The 22978-nt window shown below is 39.4% G+C and overlaps 1 protein-coding gene across 20 annotated transcripts in view; it reads left to right on the top strand.

Moving 5' to 3' along the window:
- PLCB4 (phospholipase C beta 4) overlaps positions 1-22630 on the top strand; it is a 412131-nt gene extending 389501 nt beyond the window's left edge. For 17 of the 20 annotated variants that reach the window (XM_024451898.2, NM_001377134.2, XM_005260724.3 and 14 more), the window contains 6 exons: positions 1457-1632; positions 10393-10494; positions 14612-14669; positions 15101-15187; positions 18539-18575; positions 20743-22630. In XM_024451898.2, coding sequence (XP_024307666.1) covers positions 1457-1632; positions 10393-10494; positions 14612-14669; positions 15101-15187; positions 18539-18575; positions 20743-20831 — 549 coding nt within the window. In that variant the 3' untranslated portion in view covers positions 20832-22630. The remainder of the gene's footprint in view (positions 1-1456; positions 1633-10392; positions 10495-14611; positions 14670-15100; positions 15188-18538; positions 18576-20742) is intronic. The other 3 variants (NM_182797.3, NM_001172646.2, NM_001377136.1) reach the window with 1 other exon arrangement.

Below are 22978 nucleotides of genomic sequence, written 5' to 3' on the forward strand. Positions count from 1 at the left end.
TATATGCAGCTGTGTCATCTGGCCTAATGGCCCTGCTGCATGCATGGAGCAGGCAAGATGTTCAAGATGTTCTTGGTAGCTGTATGTTTTGTAGGGCATGAACTCTATAGAGGCAGTAAGGCATGTGTCTTTAAGAGTTATTCCCCACTCTCTCTCTTCTTAACTGGAATGTTTGAGAATTAGTAGTTGTGCAAACTGTCATGATTCTTAGATGCTTGGCATCAATAAGAAAAGCCTTGGCAACAGTATCAGTTTGCTTTTGCTATATAATGAACTGTGTCAAAGAAGAGCACATTGAAACAACTACTACAGTTTATTAGGTCACAATTCAGTGGGTCAGAAATTTGGGCCATACTTCTGCTGATTTTGGCTGGAGACACTTGTGTATCTACTGTCAGCAGGGGGCGTATGGCCTTACTTATGTATCTGGTAGTTGTCTGGCTGTTGCTTGTTTTCCTACATGACCTATCAACCTCCAGCAGGCTAGCACAGGCTCAGTCAGAGGGTAGCCACAGGGATCCCAGCATAGCAGAAGGGCAAGTACTTTCCAGCCTCTGCTTGCATCACATTTGCTACTATCTCATTGGCTAAAGCAAGTCACAGGTCACCCAGCTTCAAGGAGCTGGAGAAACAGACTCCAGCTCTTGACAAGAGGCACTGCAAAACCCCACTGCAAAGAGCTTGGATATTGGGTGGGGAGGACTTTCTACCCTAGTGTCTATCAGGGTTGACACAGTAAGTCATGATCCAGAAATAAAAGAACACACAGCTCTCTATTCAGACATGTGGGCTTGTGGACATGAAGCTGGAGAAACATAAGGTGATAAAGAAAATCCTGATGGAATTGGTAAAAGAGCCTAAGGCCCACACAAATCAGAGTGTTGGCTGAGTGTGGTGGCTCACGCCTGTAATCCCGGCACTCTGGGAGGCCGAGGCAGGTGGATCACCTGAGATCGGGAGTTTGAGACCAGCCTGGCCAACATGGTGAAACCCTGTCTCTAGTAAAAATACAAAAATTAGCTGGGCATGGTGGCACGCATCTGTAATCCCAGCTACTTGGGAAGCTGAGGCAGGAGAATCGCTTGAACCCAGGAGGTGGAGGTTGCAGTGAGCTGAGATCATGCCACTGCACTCCAGCCTGGGCAACAGAGGCAGACTCTATCTAAAAAAACAAAACAAACAAACAAAAAACAAAACAGAGTGTTGCTAAGTGAGGCAGTAAAATAAGGGTTCACAGTTAACTATTCAGAGCCAAAGCAATTGATTTATTTTGATAAGCAATAACTTCCTGCTTCCCATTGATTAATACATATTATTTTTTGGTGGTTATAGGTGTCTCATGATTCACCAATTAAGTTGGTGGGAGGAACCTGAAATACCTGAATAATGTTGTGCTTTTGGGTTCATACCTGACCTATGAGGATTACAATGGCACCGTCCCCTTTTTCCCAAACAGGTCAAAGAGATTGTAGCACAGCACACAAAGGAATGGTCAGAAATGATCAATACCCACAGTGCTGAGGAGCAAGAAATCCGAGACCTGCACCTCAGCCAGCAGTGTGAGCTGCTGAAAAAGCTACTCATCAATGCCCACGAGCAGCAAACCCAGCAGCTGAAACTGTCCCATGACAGGTGGGGGAATTGCCGTCTCCAGAGTAAACATCTAATATTTAAAAACAAAAGCTGATTTTGTGTGTATAAGAGAGCCAAGGTAATAAGTGAAATCAATTTGACGTACAACATGTAGCTCTTTTGTGTATCTCATCATATGGCTGATTATGAGCAAGATGAGCTATAAGAAATGGCACCCAGGGGCCAGGTGCAGTGGCTCACACCTGTAATCCCAGTGCTTTGAGAGGCCAAGACAGGAGGATTACTTGAGCCCAGGACTTCAAGACATAGCAAGACCCCATCTCTATTTTGAAAAAAGAAATGGCCCCTGCCATCAGAGGGCTTACAGGTGTTGGCAAGATACAACACCCATATGAACAGTTAAGTCAGATAACAAAGTAGCATATGACACATATTTTAAAATGTCATGGGCACTAAAGGCATCCAGCTCAGAGGAGCTCTACCTTTTCAGAGTGGTCATGGAGACTTTTCAAAATGGTAGGGCTGGAACTGGCCTTTGGAGAATGATCTGGAGTCTCTTAGGTAGAAAAGACACACAGAGAGATAAAGACCAATCAGTTCAGCTCCTAGAGTGACCAGGTTCTGATCATTTAATAGCTACCTGTGGAGAGAGTCTCCATTTCCCTTCCTTACAGTGTTAGGACTTCTGTGAATTTTGAAAAGATAAGCCTGATTAAAAAACAGCAAAGTATCAGTTTATTTTGGCCTGTGCCCACTTCAGCAAAGTGAATATTGCATTTGAAATACTGCAAGCCATGAGCTGGACTTATCCCTGAGCAGAAGAAGGTTGGTGTTTGTTACATCTTTTTATCATAGCTCGGTTGCAGCTTGCTTGGTTCTCACTTAGTGCCTACCGTATGCCACAGTTAGGGTCTCTTGAGACACAACAAGAGTAGAAAATAGAAGCATTATACAAATAAATCAAACAAAAAAATGTGTTTAATGCCAACTGCATAAGTTATCTGGCTGCATGCCCAAATTCCCAACATTACTTTGGAGTGACAGATACTGCCACAAGAACAAAGTGTTTTTGCCCTGGTTTCCCATTCTCATTTGAGGCAACTAAATGCAGTCTCCCATGCTCCATTTTCTGTGGGATAATGTGCTGTACCCCCATGCATTTTAAAGCATTCTATTTCGTCCTATAGGATTAGAAGTTGTCTTTTCTTTTTTCCTTAGAAATGCTCTTGATTCACTATGCAGAAAGTTGTGTTCATCATTCTGCCTTTGATGATTGCTACAATGCCAGATTTTAGGTGCCTACCCTTATTCAAAGATACTTCACGGAATACAGCATGGCACTTGTCTAATCTTCTTTTACATTGTTGAATAAAGAGAAAAACATTAGCTCACAACAGTAGGCATTATCTGAAAGGAAAAAACAAAATATACTAATTCTTGAATTGCTTAGGAAGTCATTTGAAGAGATCATGACCTAGTTACTAAAATACTTTAAAAAATAAATCCATGGGCTTCATTCCAAGATGGCTGAATAAGAACAGGTCCAGTCTGCAGCTCCTAGCATGATCGATGCAGAAGATGGGTGATTTCTGCATTTCCAACTGAGGTACCTGGTTCATCTCATTGGAACTGGTTGGACAGTGGGTGCAGCCCAAGAAGTGTGAGCCAAAGCAGGGTGGGGTGTCACCTCACCCAGGAAGCACAAGGGGTCAGGGGACTTCCCTTTCCTAGCCAAAGGAAGCCGTGACAGACTGTCTCTGGAAAAACAGGACACTTCTGCCCAAATACTGTGCTTTTCCCAAGGTCTTAGCAACCGGCAGACAAGGCGATTCTCTCCTGTGCCTGGCTTGGCAGGTTCCACGCCCATGTAGCCAGGCTCACTGCTAGTGCAGCAGTCAGATCGAACCGTGAGGCAGCAACCTGGCTGGGGTAGGAGCGTCCACCATTGCTGAGGCTTGAGTAGGTAAACAAAGTGGCCAGGAAGCTCAAATTGGGTGGAGCCCACTGCAGCTCAGCAAGGCCTACTGCCTCTATAGACACCATCTCTGTGGGCAGGGCATAGCTGAACAAAAGGCAGCAGACAACTTCTGCAGACTTAAACATCCCTGTCTGACAGCTCTGAAGAGAGCAGTGGTTCTCCCAGCATGGCGTTTGAGCTCTGAGAACGGACAGACTGCCTCCTCAAGTGGGTCCCTGACCCCCATGTAGCCTAACTGGGAGACACCACCAAGCAGGGGCCGACAGACACCTCATATAGGTGGGTGCCCCTCTGGGACAAAGCTGCCACAGGAAGGATCAGGCAGCAATATTTGCTGTTCTGCAGCCTCCGCTGGTGATACCCAGGCAAACAGGGTCTGGAGTGGACCTCCAGCAAACTCCAACAGACCTGCAGCTGAGGGACCTGACTAGTAGAAGGAAAACTAACAAACAGAAAGGAATAGCATCATCATCAACAAAAAGTTCATCTACACCAAAACCCCATCTGTAGGTCACCAACATCAAAGACAAAAGGTAGATAAAACCGCAAAGATGGGGAGAAACCAGAGCAGAAATGTTGAAAATTCTAAAAACCAGAGCACCTCTTCTCCTCCAAAGGATCGCAGCTCCTTGCCAGCAATGGAACAAAGCTGGATGGAGAAGGACTTTGACAAGTTGACAGAAGTGGGCTTCAAAAGGTCAGTAATAACAAACTTCTCTGAGCTAAAGGAGCATGTTCAAACCCATCGCAAGGAAGCTAAAAACCTTGAAAAAAGGCTAGATGAATGGATAACTATAATAAACAGTGTAGAGAAGACCTTAAATGACCTGACGGAGCTGAAAACCATGGCACGAGAGCTTCGTGACACATGCACAAGCTTCAATAGCTGATTCGATCAAGTGGAAGAAAGGGTATCAGTGATTGAAGATCAAATTAATGAAATAAAGCAAGAAGAAAAGATTAGAGAAGAAAGAGTAAAAAGAAAGGAACAAAGCCTCCAAGAAATATGGGACTATGTGAAAAGACCAAATCTGTGTTTGATTGGTGTACCCAAAAGTGATGGGGAGAATGGAACCAAGTTGGAAAACACTCTTTAGGATATCATCCAGTAGAACTTCCCCAACTTAGCAAGGCATGCCAACATTCAAATTCAAGAAAGACAGAGAACACCGCAAAGATACTCCTCGAGAAGAGCAACCCTAAGACACATAATTGTCAGATTCACCAAGGTTGAAATGATGGAAAAAATGTTAAGGGCAGCCAGAGAGAAAGGTCGGGTTACCCACAAAGGAAAGTCTATCAGACTAACAGCGGACCTCTCGGCAGAAACCCTACAAGCCAGAAGAAAGTAGGGGCCAATATTCAACATTCTTAAAGAAAGGATTTTCAACCCAGAATTTCATATCCAGCCAAACTAAGCTTCATAAGTGAAGGAGAAATAAAATCCTTTACAGGCAAGCAAATGCTGAAAGATTTTGTCACCGCCAGGCCTGCCTTATAAGAGCTCCTGAAGGAAGCATTAAACATGGAAAGAAACAACCGGTACCAGCCACTGCAAAAACATGCCAAATTGTAAAGACCAACGAGGCTAGGAAGAAACTGCATCAATTAATGGGCAAAATAACCAGTTAACATCATAATGACAGGATCAAATTCACATATAACAATATTAACCTTAAATGTAAATAGGCTAAATGCCCCAATTAAAAGACACAGACTGGCAAACTGGATTAAGAGTCAAGACCCATCAGTGTGCTGAATTCAGGAAACCCATCTCACATGCAGAGACACACACAGGCTCAAAATAAAGGGATGGAGGAAGATCTACCAAGCAAATGGAAAGCAAAAAAAAAAAAAAAAAAAAAGCAGGGGTTGCAATCCTAGTCTCTAATAAAACAGACTTTAAACCAACAAAGATCAAAAGAGACAAAGAAGGCCATTACATAATGGTAAAGGGATCAATTCAACAAGAAGAGTTAACTATCCTAAATATATATGCACCCAATACAGGAGCATGCAGATTCATAAAGCAAGTCCTTAGAGACCTACAAAGAGACTTAGACTCCCACATAATAATAATGGGAGACTTTAACACCCCACTGTCAATATTAGACAGATCAATGAGACAGAAGGTTAATAAGATATCCAGGACTTGAACTCGGCTCTTCACCAAGCAGACCTAATAGACATCTACAGGACTCTCCACCCCAAATCAACAGAATATACATTCTTCTCAGCACCACATCACACTTATTCTAAAATTGACAACATAATTGGAAGTAAAGCACTCCTCAGCAAATGTAAAGGAACAGAAATCACAACAAACTATCTCTCAGGCCACAGTGCAATCAAATTAGAACTCAGGATTAAGAAACTCACTCAAAACTGCAAAACTACATGGAAACAGAACAACCTGCTCCTGAATGACTACTGGGTAAATAATGGAATGAAGGCAGAAATAAAGATGTTCTTTGAAACCAATGAGAACAAAGACACAACATACCAGAATCTCTGGGACACATTTAAAGCAGTGTGTAGAGGGAAATTTATAGCACTAAATGCCCACAAGAGAAAGCAGGAAAGATATAAAATTGACACCCTAACGTCACAATTAAAAGAACTAGAGACGCAAGAGCAAACAAATTCCAAAGCTAGCAGAAGGCAAGAAATAACTAAGATCAGAGCAGAACTGAAAGAGATAGCGACACAAAAAACCCTTCAAAAAAATCAATGAATCCGGGAGCTGGTTTTTTGAAAAGATCAACAAAATTGATAGACTGCTAGCAAGACTAATAAAGAAGAAAAGAGAGAAGAATAAAAAAGATGCAATAAAAAAATGATAAAAGAGATATCACCACCGATCCCACAGAAATACAAACTACCATCAGAGAATACTATAAACACCTCTATGCAAATAAACTAGAAAATCTAGAAGAAATGGATAAATTCCTGGACACATACACCCTCCCGAGACTAAACCTGGAAGAAGTTGAATCTCTGAATAGACCAATAACAGGCTCTAAAGTTGAGGCAATAATTAATAGCCTACCAATCAAAAAAAGTCCAGGACCAGACAGATTCACAGCCGAATTCTACCAGAGATACAAAGAGGAGCTGATACCATTCCTTCTGAAACTATTCCAATCAACAGAAAAAGAGGGAATCCTCCCTAACTCATTCTATGAGGCCAGCATCATCCTGATACCAAAGCCTGGCAGAGGCACAACAAAAAAAGAGAATTTTAGACCAATATCCCTGATGAACATCCATGCAAAAATCCTCAATAAGATAAATACTGGCAAACCAAATCCAGCAGCACATCAGAAAGCTTAACCACCATGATCATGTCGGCTTCATCCCTGGGATGCAAGTCTGGTTCAACATATGCAAATCAATAAATGTAATCCATCACGTAAACAGAACCAATAACAAAAACCACATGATTATCTCAATAGATGCAGAAAAGGCCAACAAAATTCAACAGGCCTTCATGCTAAAAACTCTCAATAAACTAGATATTGATGGAATGTATCTCAAATTAATAAGAGCTATTTATGACAAACCCACAGCCAATGTCATACTGAATGGGCAAAAACTGGAAGCATTCCCTCTGAAAACTGGCACAAGACAAGGATGCCCTCTGTCACCACTCCTATTCAACATAGTGTTGGAAGTTCTGGCCAGGGCAATCAGGCAAGAGAAAGAAATAAAGGGTATTCATTTAGGAAAAGAGGAAGTCAAATTGTCCCTGTTTGCACATCACATGATAGTATATTTAGAAAACCCCTTCATCTCAGCCCCAAATCTCCTCAAGCTGATAAGCAACTTCAGCAAAGTCTCAGGATACAAAATCAATGTGCAAAAATCACAAGCGTTCCTATACACCAATGACAGACAACCAGAGAGCCAAATCATGAGTGAGCTTCCATTTGCATTTGCTACAAAGAGAATAAAATACCTAGGAATCCAACTTACAAGAGATGTGAGGGACCTCTTCAAGGAGAGCTACAAACCACTGCTCAATGAAATAAAAGAGGACAGAAATGAATGGAAGAACATTCCATGCTCATGGATAGGAAGAATCAGTATCGTGAAAATGCCCATACTGCCCAAGGTAATTTATAGATTCAATGCCATCCCCATCAAGCTACCAATGACTTTCTTCACAGAATTGGAAAAAACTATTTTAAAGTTCATATGGAACCAAAAAAGAGCCCTCATTGCCAAGACAATCCTAAGCAAAAAGAACAAAGCTGGAGGCATCATGCTACCCAACTTTAAACTATACTACAAGGCTACAGTAACCAAACCAGCATGGTACTAGTACGAAAACAGAGATATAGACCAATGGAACAGAACAGAGCCCTTAGAAATAACACCACACATCTACAACCATCTGATCTTTGACAAACCTGACAAAAACAAAAAATGGGGAGAGGATTCCCTATTTAATAAATGGTGCTGGGAAAACTGTCTAACCATATGTAGAAAGCTGAAACTGGATCCCTTCCTTACACCTTATACAAAAATTAATTCAAGATGGATTAAAGACTTAAATGTCAGACCTAAAACCATAAAAGCCCTAGAAGAAAACCTAGGCAATACCATTCAGGACATAGGCATGGGCAAGGACTTCATGACTAAAACAAAAAGCAATGGCCACCAAAGCCAAAACAGACAAATGGGATCTAATTAAACTAAAGAGCTTCTGCATGGCAAAAGAAACTACCATTAGAGTGAACAGGCAACTCACAGAATGGGAGAAAATTTTTGCAGTCTACCCATCTGACAAAGGGCTAATATCCAGAATCTACAAAGAACTCAAACAAATTTACAAGAAAAAAACAACCCCATCAAAAAGTAGGCAAAGGATATGAACAGACACTTCTCAAAAGGAGACATTTATGCAGCCAACAGACACATGAAAAAATGCTCATCATCACTGGTCATCAGAGAAATGCAAATCAAAACCACAAGAGTTGCCATCTCACGCCAGTTAGAATGGCGATCATTAAAAAGTCAGGAAACAACAGATGCTGGAGAGGACGTGGAGAAATAGGAACGCTTTTACACTGTTGGTGGGAGTGTAAATTTGTTCAACGATTGTGGAAGACAGTGTGGCGATTCCTCAAGGATCTAGAACTAGAAATCCCATTTGACCCAGCAATCCCATTACTGGGTATATACCCAGAGAATTATAAACCATGCTACTATAAAGACACATGCACACATGTGTTTATTGTGGCACTATTGACAATAGCAAAGACTTGGAACCAACCCAAATGTCCATCAGTGATAGACTGGATTAAAAAAATGTGGCACATATACAACATGGAATACTATGCAGCCATAAAAAAGGATGAGTTCATGTCCTTTGCAGAGACATGGATGAAGCTGGAAACCATCATTCTCAGCAAACTATCACAAGGACAGAAAACCAAACACCGTATGTTCTTACTCATAGGTGGGAATTGAACAGTGAGAACACTTGGACACAGGGTAGGGAACGTCACACACCGGGCCTTTTGGAGGGTGGGGGACTGGGGGAGGGATAGCATTAGGAGAAATGTCTAATGTAAATGACGAGTTGATGGGTGCAGCAAACCAACATGGCACATGTATACCTATGTATCAATCCTGCACGTTGTGCACATGCACCCTAGAACTTAAAGTATAATAAAAAATAAATAAATAAATAAAATAAATCCATGGCAGAAGCACTTTTCAAAGCAACAGCAGTATTTTAGCTTTTTCTCAAACCCCTGGTGGTTGTGTTTCTTCCTCATGATCACAACTATTATTCTTGGTTAAAAATCTTTGCTTTCTTGACATTTGTCAGCAACGTTTGGTCATTGGTGTTTGTTGAATGAATGAATACAGAAAGGTCAATTTCCTAACAAGTTATGGTAAAATCTGAGAGTGATCTTCTTGTGTCCAGAGTTTCTATACATGTTCCTGCTGGAGTGGCTCTAGGGTAGCTGAGTGAGCAACTCTCCAGTTCAGTATTGCCCATCTCTTTGGATGCAGAGCAAATAGCAGTGCCTAGGTAACCTGACTGCTTGTATGCTGGTTTCCAGGCAGTGCTTTCAATAGATCTCCATAGGTTATAGAAAAAAATTTTTGTAATAATATACTATGTAGCATTTTAAGTTTTATTCCTTTAATGCATGTGTGTCATGCATACACATGCATTCCCACATGCAGTGGTTGGTCACCTGCAAACCTACTTTTTTGCTATTCCCTGTGCTTACTTGAAACCATTTAGTCCCTTTCATTCCTGTGGCTGATAGAAACAGGAAGGCCGTTTGTGATGGTTAGAACATTTTCTCTCTCTCTTCCAGCCCATCTGATCCCAAATAATATGAAGCAAAACTGAGATCTTTATATTTATGGGCAAAAATACTGTCTCCTCATCACAGGCCATCACTGTCACTTCACCACTAGGTGGCCACTGCCCCTCAAGGATCAGCATCCACATAGCTTGGGGTCCCGTCCCTCCTTTTTCCAAAATACAGAAGTCGATGAGCTCAATAATAGAAAGAAAAAAAAAGAAGAGTGAGAGGAGTGAGCCTAGTCATATTGCTATAAACAGAAGTATTTTTGTTTTTTTCCATGCTTAAATTATGTCTATATATATAAAATGTAAACTTTACTGTTGTAACCATTAAGTGCATGACATTAAGTACATTCACTTTGTTGTGTACCCGTCACTGCCACCCACCTCTAGAACTTTCTCATTTTCCCCAGGTGAATCTCTCTACCCATTAAACACAAACTCTCCATCCCCCCTCCCTGTTTGTTTTCTTGTTTTTAATACATAGGGAAAGCAAGGAAATGCGAGCACACCAGGCTAAGATTTCTATGGAAAATAGCAAAGCCATCAGCCAAGATAAATCTATCAAGAATAAAGCAGAACGGGAAAGGTAAGTCTGAGAGTGTTCACTGCAGGAATATGGCATTGACTTGAGGACACAGTCTCAACTTTCTTTATGTGTGTACACACACACACAACTGAGACAGCAAAACACTTGTGGCTTTTGACTAGGAATTCTGCTATTATAACTGCAATGGAGATTTGTTATTATCACTGTAGAACAATCGTCCACATTTTCTGGTTGCTTACTACCACCAGTAAAATTAGTTTACATTCAATATATATGTGCTGCTTTACAAACAAAGTTGCATAAAATATGACATAATAATATAATTCTTTTTTTTATTTTATTCATTTTTTTTTTTGCTTGTTTGTTTTGAGATGGAGTCTTGCTTTATTACCCATGCTAGAGTGCAGTGGCACAATCTCAGCTCACTGCAACCTCTGCCTGGGTTTGAGCGATTCTCCTGCCTGAGCCTCCCTAGTAGCTGGGATTACAGGCATGCACCACCACACCTGGCTAATTTTTGTATTTTTAGGAGAGATGGGGTTTCACCATGTTGGCCACACTGGTCTTGAACTCCTGACCTCAAGTGATCTGCCCGCCTCAGCCTCCCAAAGTGCTGGGATTATAGGCGTGAGCCACTGCGCCCAGCCTATAATCAATATAATTCTGAAGCATCCTTCCCAGGTTCCACTGGGTCATTCTGCAAGCCTCTCCCCTGCTCAGGTGTCAGTCCGTTCTGGATGGGCCAGTTCTGAATAGCAGCAACAGTCAGGAGGGCGGTCTTCTTCAGTAGTCCTTCACATGGGATCATCTTGAAAGCCCCCATCCCATTTGTCTCATTTGTCCTTATGTTAGGTGAGTTTTCTGGAAGCAGATCAAGGCAGGAATTGATGTGCTTGTGATTCACTGAGGAAGGGACCTTCAGAGAAAGGGAGTGAGAAAGCAGGAAGGCCCAGGGCAGGCCCTAAGCAAGGATGTGGTCTCACCTAGGGTCCCAGTAACCTCAAATAAAAAATTCCACCACAGATTTGTCCCTCTTTGAAGCAAGAGTACCTGGCTTTTGTGTTTCCATATTAGGCAGTCATTGGCCGCCTGAGACTGGGGGGAAGGTTTGTGTGTCCTCTATAGAAGGTGCCAAGTGCAAGCCCTTTAGACACAGCTGGTGAAGGGGATCTGAGGAGCTGTCAATAGTCATGTTACCCAAGGGATAGGCACTTAATTCCCAGCGATCACCAGTGCTGCCCATCATCCACCTCAAGGAACATCTGAGAATACAAATGCTATCAGCTCCATAACCAAGAGCCTGGATTACGCCACCAGCAGTTAGGGACAGTGGGGTTCCTTCTTTTGGGGGAATAATACCTAGCAAGAAGGTGGCCTTTTGGCCAAAGTCCAACAGAGAAAAGCTGTTTTATGAGCCAGGTGCAGTGGCTCACACCTGTAATCCCAGCACTTTGGGAGGCCGAGGTGGGCAGATTACCTGAGGTCAGGAGTTTGGGACCAGCTTGACCAACATGGTGAAACCTCACCTCTACTAAAAATACAAAAAAATTAGCTGGGTGTGGTGGTACCTGCCTGTAATCCCAGCTACTCAGGAGGCTGAGGCAGGAGAATTGCTTGAACCCCAGGGGCGGAGGTTGCAGTGAGCCGAGATCCTGCCATTGCACTCCAGCCTGGCCAACAGAGCAAAACTCCATCTCAAAAAAAAAAAGAAAAGAAAAAATGTCATTCTCTGGATGTTATTCTCAGATAAGCAACTTTGTTTAAGGGCCTTATATACATGGAAATGACACCTTCTTCAGTTTGAAAACACCAAATATTCCAGCCATGATAAAACCTCATGAATTTGAACTGTTTTAGACTATCCAAAGTGAAATATAGAATTAACCATGACAAATGTGCCAATTAATAGCTTTTTACCATCTTTTTCAAATATGTTACAAAGTAGACTTTAGCTCGGTTGAGGTCAAATTATCTTCAATTTGGAGTTACTGCTAACTTAATTAGCAAGGGTCTTAAAAATTTATCTTATTTTGAAAACTGTACTTATTTGTTGTAACTTTCTATTTTTATTTGTGCAACTGTATGGGGGTACGTGAGAAAACTTTACATGTATACAATGCCCAGTGATCAAGTCAGGGCATTTAGGTTGTCCATCACCCAAGTACTATACATTTGTGGCTAAGTATAGTCACCCTACTCTGCTATCTCTTATAAGTTTGTATCCAGTGGTATGTGGTTCCAAAATATCTACAAATTGGCTGTTTTTTAAAAAATAATTTTTCTATACCAAATGATAGTTATATTCTAAACCCATACTGTGTGTATGTTTGTATCCACTTTATCAAACTGAGGAGAAATAAAATTTAAAAATTTGTCATAGCACTAAGAAAGATACATAGAAACTGAAAATCATACTTACATTTTTAGATCAAAGAAGACATTTTAACAGAAATTACCCAATATTTATAACTGAATGACAATGTAAACACTATTTATCAATGTGTAGAGGGTAGTTAAAGTGATATTTGGAGGGAAAAATATAGCCTAGATGCATATATTTTTTAAAAGATGTGAAAATTAATGAGCTAACCACTCAAAGAGAATATGAAGTTGGAAAAACAGAGTGAACCCAAAGATCTCTGATGGAAAGAAATAAATTTAAAAAGCAAAAAATACTGAAATAGAAAACAAAATGCAATAGAGAACATTCAGAAAAACAAAAGCTTATTTGAAAAGAATAATAAATCAGTTAACTTTCACCAAGACTAAAGAAGAGAGAGAAAGCACGAATTAGTGATGTTAGGAATGAAAAGGGGAATTAACTACAGAGAAAAACGCTTTGAAAAACTAAGTCTACTATTAAAAAAAACTACCAATAAATTTGAAACGTTAGATGGAGTGGAGAATTGCTTTGAAAAATATAAATATCCAAAACTGACTGAAAATGGAGAAAACCTGAACAGACTGGCAATTATTACAGAAGTTCAAGAAGTTATAGGTCTTTTCACTCATGAAAAACACTCTACCTCACCAGTAGTCAGGGAAATGCAAGTTAAGACAATAAGCTCCATTCCATAGGAGCATCCAACTGACAGAAAGTCTGATAGTACTAAGAGTGGGCAAAGATATGGGGAAAGGGTAACACCCAGACACTGCAGATGGAAATGCAGTTGGGGACAACTGGATTGGAGTAAGGAAGAGCCTGTTCGTACCCTGCCAAGTGACAAGTCTGAGTATACACCCTACAGCAGCCTTTGCCTGTGTGCACAAGAAGATATGCACCATACTTCATCCACTCATCTGTTTATTCAACAGACACTTATTGTGTCAGGTATTACAGGGCCCACGCACCCGATCGTTGTAGCGTTGTTTGAAAATAACCTAATTTTTGTTAATGGCAATGAGGAAATAGTGTAGTCTGTTCATAAATTGAAAAGTCCATACAGCAAATGAAAATAATGAAGTGGTCTGGAACATAGGTGTATCTCTAAAACATAAGACTAAGTGGTAAGCTATGGGAAGAAACCCAGACTATGTTACTCTATGGGTACATTTAGAAAACACAGGAAGCGATGCCACTGTGCCTGGCCAGCAACATCAGCATCACCTGGGAGCTTACTAGAAATTCAGACCTCCCACCCCAGGCCCACTGGATCAAAGTCACTAAGGGGAAGGCACAACAGTCTGTGGTTTTTATCATCTCTCCAGGTGATTGGTATGCACAGGAAAGTTTGAGAAGCTCTTATATTACACATGGGCACATCTGTATGTGGTTTAAAATATTAAAACATGGGTGAGAAGATCCACACCAAATTCACAATAGTGGTAACCTCTGGGGAGAGAGGAATAAGGAAAACTGAATCAGGAAGAATACACATGGGGCTTTAATTACATCTGGAACTGTTTATTGCCTTTAAAAATGTGAGATAAACATGGCAAAACATTAAAAATATCAGTTAATCTGAGGGACACATACACAGATTTTTAAATATTCTTCTCTGGACATTATATGTTTGAAAATACTGCAATAACAATTAGAAAAATAAAGCAATAATTCCATCCAGAGAATTTGATGGAATATAGCTCTTTATTATTTGATATAATATTAATTTCATTCAATGTCATACCAACCGTTATTTGTGCCCATTGCTTTTAGGCGAGTCAGGGAGTTAAACAGCAGCAACACTAAAAAGTTTCTGGAAGAAAGAAAGAGAGTAAGTATTTTATTATATTTTTGGCATTCTTCCTTTAAAAAACTATAAACAATAACATGCTTAGCCACCAGATCTCTAGCTAATTTGTTTAATTTGATTTTTCTGTACATTAAACATTCCAGCTTCTCTGCTCCCTGAAAGCTAAAATAATGTCTCACTAAAATCTTTAAGGTAATGATTTGGCACCATTTTATACAGAAAATGAAGCCAGGTTTAGTCATGCGTAAGTCCTCTATTATTTTCTAAGATTTTAGCAGGAAAGATCTTCCCAGAAATAATTATGAGTTTAAACTCTCCAAATTTTGAGATGATTTTTTAAAAAATTATTATCTCTTTCACTTAAATTATAAAGTTACAAGTCATCTCTCATCCCTGTTTTAAGATTGTAACCCAAAGTTCAATCAGAATTTTTTTTTTTTTTTTTTTTGCAGCTTGCCATGAAGCAGTCCAAAGAAATGGATCAGTTGAAAAAAGTCCAGCTTGAACATCTAGAATTCCTAGAGAAACAGAATGAGCAGGTATTTTACCTAAAATACGTAAAAACATGCAGGCAGCTAGCCAGCTTTGGGATACACATGCCATGGCCCACAGTGACCAGTGGCTTGCATATTGTAATTGAAAGGTAGATAGAAGAATTTGTTGCCCATTACTATATTTTCTCCATTATATCCAAAAAGAAAAGAAAGTACCAGTTTTTGGAGCAGGAGCAGAATCTGGCTGTGCCAAAAAAAGAATATTTGGATAAATTATGGGGATTATGTGAATTCTAAGAATGAAATTACTAAAAGTGAGAGGATGAAAAAAAGAGATTACGAAGTATTTCTCCATTTTCATTTAGAGTTTTATAATTTGCAAACTATAGGCAAGGGATATGATGTTTAAAAGCAAATGAGAGAAACCACCTATTTTCAAACTCAATCTGAAAACGAAGTTTAAAAACCTCCCTGGGACTTACAGGTGGTATCTAAAGTCATGAGCCCCCATCACTCTACAAATCACTGAGCATGAGTGGATACCATAGTCTTGGTCTTTTTCCCTGCAAGACAAGACACTAAATAAAGAAATATACACAAATAAAGAGTTATCCAGGCCGGGCGCAGTGGGCTCATGCCTGTAATCCCAGCACTTTGAGAGGCCGAGGAGGGTGGATCAGGAGGTCAGGAGATCGAGACCATCCTGGCCAACATGGTGAAGCCCCGTCTCTACTAAAAATACAAAAATTAGCCGGGCCTGGTGGCATGCACCTGTAGTCCCAGCTACTCAGTTGGCTGAAGCAGGAAAATCACTTGAACCCAAGAGGCGGAGGTTGCAGTGAGCCGAGATCGCACCACTGCACTCCAGCCTGAGCGACAGAGTGACTCCATCTCAAAAAAAAAAAAAAAGGAGTTACCCAAACACCAACTGTTTAGTTAGGCCAATGGGCATATACCAGCACCAAGGTAAATGTATTTTTATCTGGTGCATAGTACAGGTGGGCACCTTTCCAAATGGGCTACAGCCCATCAGCCTTCTACAGTAACCTTTAATTAATGGAAATCCCTCTAGTTCCTATGGCAACAAGACCCTCAGTTATCATTTACATTTCAGACTCTCTCAGTTCAAATGTTATTCTTTAGGTGTAGTTGGTATAGAAGTTATTATTCCTAGGTAATTCAATTTAGAAACGGAGAGGTTTTGATGAAATATGTACTTGTGCCACATTATTCCTTCCTGTTTTCTCCCATCTATAAAACAATCCTATTTAAGGAATACTTTTTTCCAGAGTAAATGACTCCCCTTGAAGAATACTTAAGTAGGAATTATACTAAAAAGTACCTTTGAGAAAGTAAAAATAAAATAAAATAAAATAAAATAAAATCTTTTTTGTATGGCAATTGGGTAACAGATAAATCTGACTTCTAGTTTCAGATTCTTTACTTTTTGGTGGACAGAAATTTTATTCATCAACATACTTCCTAGTTATGTTTCCCATTTCCTTTTCAGCTAAGTGCTTCTATTCATAAGCAAGTCCACTCCAAGGGGACAATACATGGTTATTGTCCCACAGGTACAATTCATTTGACCAACTCATAAACACATCACATTCTGGTACAAGTTACCTAGCTTATGTTTTTGCTCTTAAAGCACTTCTCAGAAAGTGCTCCTGGGGGAAATATGGGAATATGAGTAAGGATAAAGTCACCATCTCCAAAGCTTTAGAAGCCACTTCAGTGATTCAACAATGGGTAGGGATAAGGATGCCTTGGAGAAGGTTTTTAAAAATTCTCCCTAGAGGAAGGGCACAGTGAAAGGTAAGGCACAGTTATGTGTTAGTTAACTAAATTAAGAAACTACTTGGAAATTAATTGTGTTGCTTAGCAACAAGTTTGACTAAAGAATGTAAATGTGCTCAGAATTACTCATCACTACAATAGTGGTGTATGCCAGAGCTAGAGAAAACAGTCATCTTGTGTCGCTAGCTTTGGAGCCGAAGTACATAATTTTTAAAAATCAGTTTGAGCTTTTATCCTAACACATGGCTAATTCAAGCCACACCAGAGTTCTTGCATTAAACTGCTAGATTAGTGATAGCTGTATTGATTAGATTGTATTGGGAGGGTGCTGGCTTTTTGTTGCAGAAATTCAAATATGTCTTTTAAGGTCTACCACCCACAACTGACACTTTGAGTCACAAAAGCTTGGGAAAGCATAGAACATGAAAAGGCTTGAGACCTGATAAAGATTTAATGAGATTCAAGGAAAAGACATTCAAGATATCATACTGATGCTTCTGGCAAGCAAAGAATTTGGACTTGAGTTTCTGTGTTAAGCTTTGCTTTAGAAATATGGCCTGTTCAATTGCAAATTCAATCCCAGATCTTTCTAGTATACATTTTTTGGCATTTAAGGGTGAGAAAGCTCTCAATTCACAGTTACTCTGTATGGTACAACACTGTCATGGGCACAGTGCAAAAGATACAGTGACTTCATTTCTTTCCTCATAAAAAGGCAAGGTCTGGAACTATATAGTATAACTGCCTTCATAACCAGGTAAACATTTCATCAGCAAGAACAGTTCTTTGTCTCCAGACAATGCAAACTTCTACAACAATCTTCTAAATAATTGTTAAATCCCAAGACATTTTTTCTAAGCCAGAGATAAATGTAAACATTCTCCCATAGTATTTCCCTCAAAGGTTTCTTTCTGTTCTCCTGTGACCCTACTCCTAATCGGTGTCCCAAATCTCCCCTTCCAAAGCAAGGCCTGGAATGGATTCAGTCCATTAGCTAAACCAGTGTTGGGGGCACTGGCAGAAACAAACCAGGCGTCAGTATGTTTTGGTCCTGATTCTGGATCCTCACCTTCTAGGTTATTTGTAAGCCACTTTATGTCCTTGCCTACTTGGTCAGCCAACTATTCACTTAACACTCTGAAGGTTGGGGATGTTTTTCCTACTTGAGTTTTTTCATAGACTTCCCAGCTACACAGTATATCTCATCTGTCTTGACATGTACCATTTCAAACATTAACGACTCCATTACTGTCACACACTCGAGTCTCAAAAATTGATTTTTATCATCAATCCTATCATTTAATAAAGAGAGGTAAAAGGTTTTGCTTAAAGGCCAGGTTCTCCACTTACTGCCACAGAAGAGAGGCACAGTCTGGGAATGACAGGCGTTGGTTGTTTGTTTCGTTTCTTTTTTTTCTGTTGAGATCAACTAGGGGAAAGTTTGTCACTGAGGGGTGTGTACATGTTTTATCCTTAGCTTTTTGCTTTTCTGTATATGGTTTTGCATTCATTTTTCAAATTCACTTCAATATTCATTTATTTTCTTCGTTTTGTATGTATGACTCAATTTTGACATTACTATTTTTGTACAAACAGCTTTTGAAATCCTGTCATGCAGTGTCCCAAACGCAAGGTAGGACCGAAACTCTGATAAGCAAGACGTTGCTTTCCTTCTCGACTACGTCCGTATTCTCTGTGCAGTCTCCATTTATGAGTCACATCTGGTCATAACTAATATCTGAAGGGTTTGGATTTAAAAGCTTGACTATTCCATGCTTGGATTTCTGATGTCATATTCATGCCAAAATGCCCTAAGTCTTTAGAGAATTACTTCTGAGGGTATTTGAACCTGTATTTTCTATTGCAGATTTAGGAAACAGATCATGGTAATAAAGACATAACCAGAACAGTGATGTGCAGCTGTCATTTGGACTGACCAGAGCTAAGACAGGGTCACAGAGTCAGGTCACTCACAAATGTTAATATGACTCCAATTAATTTTTAAAGCGCTCGCTGAAAGTTGGTTGGTGGTTTTTAATGATGGAGCTGTGCTGTGCATGTAGAAACCTTACACGATGACTCTTGTCATGCTCTCTGCTAAGTCCCATCTGCCAAAGACCCTAATCACTCCTCATAAGTAAGGTGGTCATATAATTTATTGTCCATACCAGGATAGTTTTGAGAGTGAAAGGCAGCTCTGTTTATAATATCTAGGACTACAGGCATAAACTGGAATTGCCTCAGACAAATGAGAATGAATGGTCACCCAACTCATATAAGAACTTAGCTGTTGGAATAGTCTTGTAATGTCCTATGATTCTTCCTTCTACACCGTGGTCAATACTTTCTTCAGAAGCTAAAGGGGGACAAGCACAGAGAATCATTTGCTACTATTTACCGAACTTGGAAGTATTTAATTTCCAGTGCTGATAATGTTTCACTGTCATCCCTTTTGAATACTGTTTGTGTCATAGTTTCATGTTTGTATATTTTTCTCCATTTCTTCATTTCTCTATTAGAGTATTACTATACTTTAGGCATAAAAAATATCTGGGCAGAGGGAACCAACCATCCCAAATTTACACAGAAAGATTTAATTCTTTGGTGTTATTATATCCATCCTCACCAAAATGAAGCTTAACGCCAAAATATAGAAGTAAGAAGAAGAAGGAAATCACAGTATAGTCTGTGGGTTAAATTAATTTTGTCACAAGAATTCATTTGGAAGATGCTTCTCATATATCTACAGAGTTGACCAAATCCCCTCCCAGTGACCTTCCATTTAGTTGGAATATCTAAGCAGACATAAATAGTAACATCAGGGCACTTCAGAATCTTCATCCGATTTATATCTTCATAGGTCCATGTTTCTATTTTCAAATGTCCTTTATTTCAAAGCAGCATGTCACTAAAAAAAAGAAATGGGCAATCATCATTCCTCAAAAGATACGTGCATTTGGTTGGGCAAAATCATCCAGGCTACCAGTTGGATAATAAAAGTCGAAATGTACTATTTGATTTTTTCCTATGTTTCCAAGCAAGTATTTCTCACCAGACACTGCCCCCATCATATCCCCTTTCCTCTTCTCGAATTAGCTGGTTTTCTTAGTGACAATCTGAACTCATGAGGTTGAATTCACCATTGCTTACTTCCTGGTAGTCCATAAAAAGTACCCTAGAGAAGTAAGAGCCCACAGGGATAGAGTTTGCACAATAAGATTCCTGAAAGCCTGCATGTTCCTGTAACATTCCATTTACAGAAGACTCCAGCCAATCCAATGTAATATGCTCTCACCTGAACTTCTCTATCAATTAGATTTTTAGGGAATTACTTTTAACTAAATTTCAGGCTATTTAGGAAATAAGTTGTACATAAGCAATACTTATTCTAATGTGATAAAATTATCTACACACAGTCAAAGCAACGTGTCAATCTGTAGAAACTAAATCAAACAGTTTGTGGTATGGTCTAAAGATAAAGCAAGTGGTCTACCCTCTTCTCAAGTGGTTCTCCTGGCACTGTGTAAACCAGTCCCCAAAATTTAATGTGTATAAAAACTTCCTGGAGATCTTGTTAAAATGAAGATTTTAACTGATTCAATAGATCTGGGGTAGACTCCAAGATTCTACGTTTCTAAGAAGGTCCCAGGCAATGCTGATGCTGCTTGTACATGGACCATATTTTGAGTAGCAAGGATGTGGTGACAGGATCATATTTATGGGAGAAGAGAGGCCAGGGTTGTTAAGTGCCTTCAGATAAGGATTTCAACACACGTAAGGCCATGTTTCTGATGTTATAGGCGAAGGAGATGCAGCAGATGGTGAAATTGGAAGCCGAGATGGACCGCAGACCAGCAACAGTAGTATGAAACTCCAAAATGCAAACTGAAGCAGCAAACCCACAAAGCATCAAAAGACTCACTCACAAACTTCTGAACACAAACTCCATGGATGAAAGCTGTTTATTTTGTTTCCTTTATGTGTAAACAAGATGATATCTGAAACCAGAGAGACTTGGAATGTCTGACTGACTTCTATTTAACAGCTTGAGTATTGCATTTCCTTGGCCAAACAAAAATAGCTACAAATCCACAAAAATTTACTATTCCAGTAAGGCAGAGTCCAACCATTGATAATACAACTTAAACATGTTTGCTATAAAATACCATCACAAGTAAATGAGCTTGGTGTGAACAACTCTCCTTTGTGATGCCTTAGGACATGTTTGAACTGCAGCAAAAAACAAAAACAAAAAACAGTGCATTAGCAATTTCATAGCAAGTGCATGCACTAGGAAAAGAAAACTCTGTCTACAAGTTTATTAGCAGAAGTGGTGGTCTGCTAGACAAATAATTTTGCAAAATTTTTCTACATCTAAGTTACCTCATCAGTAAGTGCCATGTCTCTACCATGCCATCAGAGGCTAATTTCCTGTAAAAGTTGTGGAAATTGTTAGAACAATAGAAAAATAGAGCAGTGTATGTGTGCCAAAACTCATCATTACTCAAAGGAGAACTGTGTTAGGCACATTTAAGAAAGTTTACATCTGACATTGCTTTATAGGAATTGTTTCTGCAGATTCCGGATATTATAATTCACACCATAAAGATTGTGAAGTGGTTATTGGCAAACGTTTGTAAATGTGACCATGTATAAAGTATTTATACTCTTTAATTCACACTGTTAGAGAGCAAAATCATCTAAGTATTGCCACATGACAAGATTAGTAAACAGGAATACTAGAACTATGTTTGCATGATACACAAGCACCAATAAAGACTAATCCATACACAGTTAACCTAATGCCAAATAAATACTGGTTAAATAAATGTATGGCACAGAATATAATTTGACTATCAAGACTTTTAGCATAATGAAAAACCCTCTCTCTATATATATATGTGTATATGAATTATGTGGGCATTCTTGATACTTCAAGTTCTAGTTTGAAAAAAATACATAACTAATTTAATTTTACACAAAAATATTTATGCAGATTTTCAGAATTTCATATCAGGAAATGACCTTTTTATGTCTGTTAAATATCAAAACAATTTGCTACAGTGTTAATCTGCATGGTCTTTAAGCCTGCTGTAGTTGAGTTGCAGACAGTGCATGAAAAAGTATTCCGCTGGGAATTGAGCCATGCCACCAAAGCCAAGAGGAGCGCATGGAAACCCGGTAGTCTAGAACTAATCAGATTACTGATTTTAGGGCACAGCACCAGATGAATTGTTGTATATGCTTGTAAAAATTGATTCTGTGTGTTCCTCTGAACAAAGCGGAGAAAATGATGATACCATCAATATTGAAATTAAACTTCCAACTTCTCTAATAAAAAATTAAAACACGCATAACACTCGTCAAGAGTATTTGCTCCCAAGACACATTCTAGCAAATGTTTTGCCTTTTTCATATACATGATATCATCGTTATTTTCAAAGGGGGCTTATTAATACCCTCAGCATGTTTTTCACCCAAATGATGCAAAACATGCAGATTCTAGTTGACTTCAGTTGTAATAGACTTGTTTTTCTCCTATTTATGATTTGAAGTGGATTCTGTAAAATATCTCTTGTTCTTAGTTTCCTTATCTGTAAAACAGTGGAGTTAGACTACATATCTTTTGGCACTAACATCTCATGAAAAATTATGGTTAATAAAATATCACCACATTTGGATTGCCAATTTTCAAAGATTCTGAGTGGCTTCTCATCATCAAATCAAATCAAATCCAAGAGCTCAACTATGCTCACCATTCTGTAACACTTGACTGAATTCATCACTTGCCTCCTCTTGTTTCTGCTTTGGAGAGGTACTACTAGTTTTTCCATTTTTCTTATTTCTTCCCTCTTTTCATCCTCCTAGGCCACCATAAGCATTTATATTTTCCAGTGTTATACATGGAACCAGTTTGTTTTTCTTTGATCCAGGTTACTTTTAGTATTTGAGACATCATACCATTAATCCATTGTAGTAGGATTAAAATGTACACACAACTCAAATGTGCAACAAAAGCATGTGTTACCTGCTATT

The sequence above is a fragment of the Homo sapiens genome, chromosome 20, assembly GCF_000001405.40.
Source record: "Homo sapiens chromosome 20, GRCh38.p14 Primary Assembly".
NCBI lineage: Eukaryota > Metazoa > Chordata > Mammalia > Primates > Hominidae > Homo > Homo sapiens.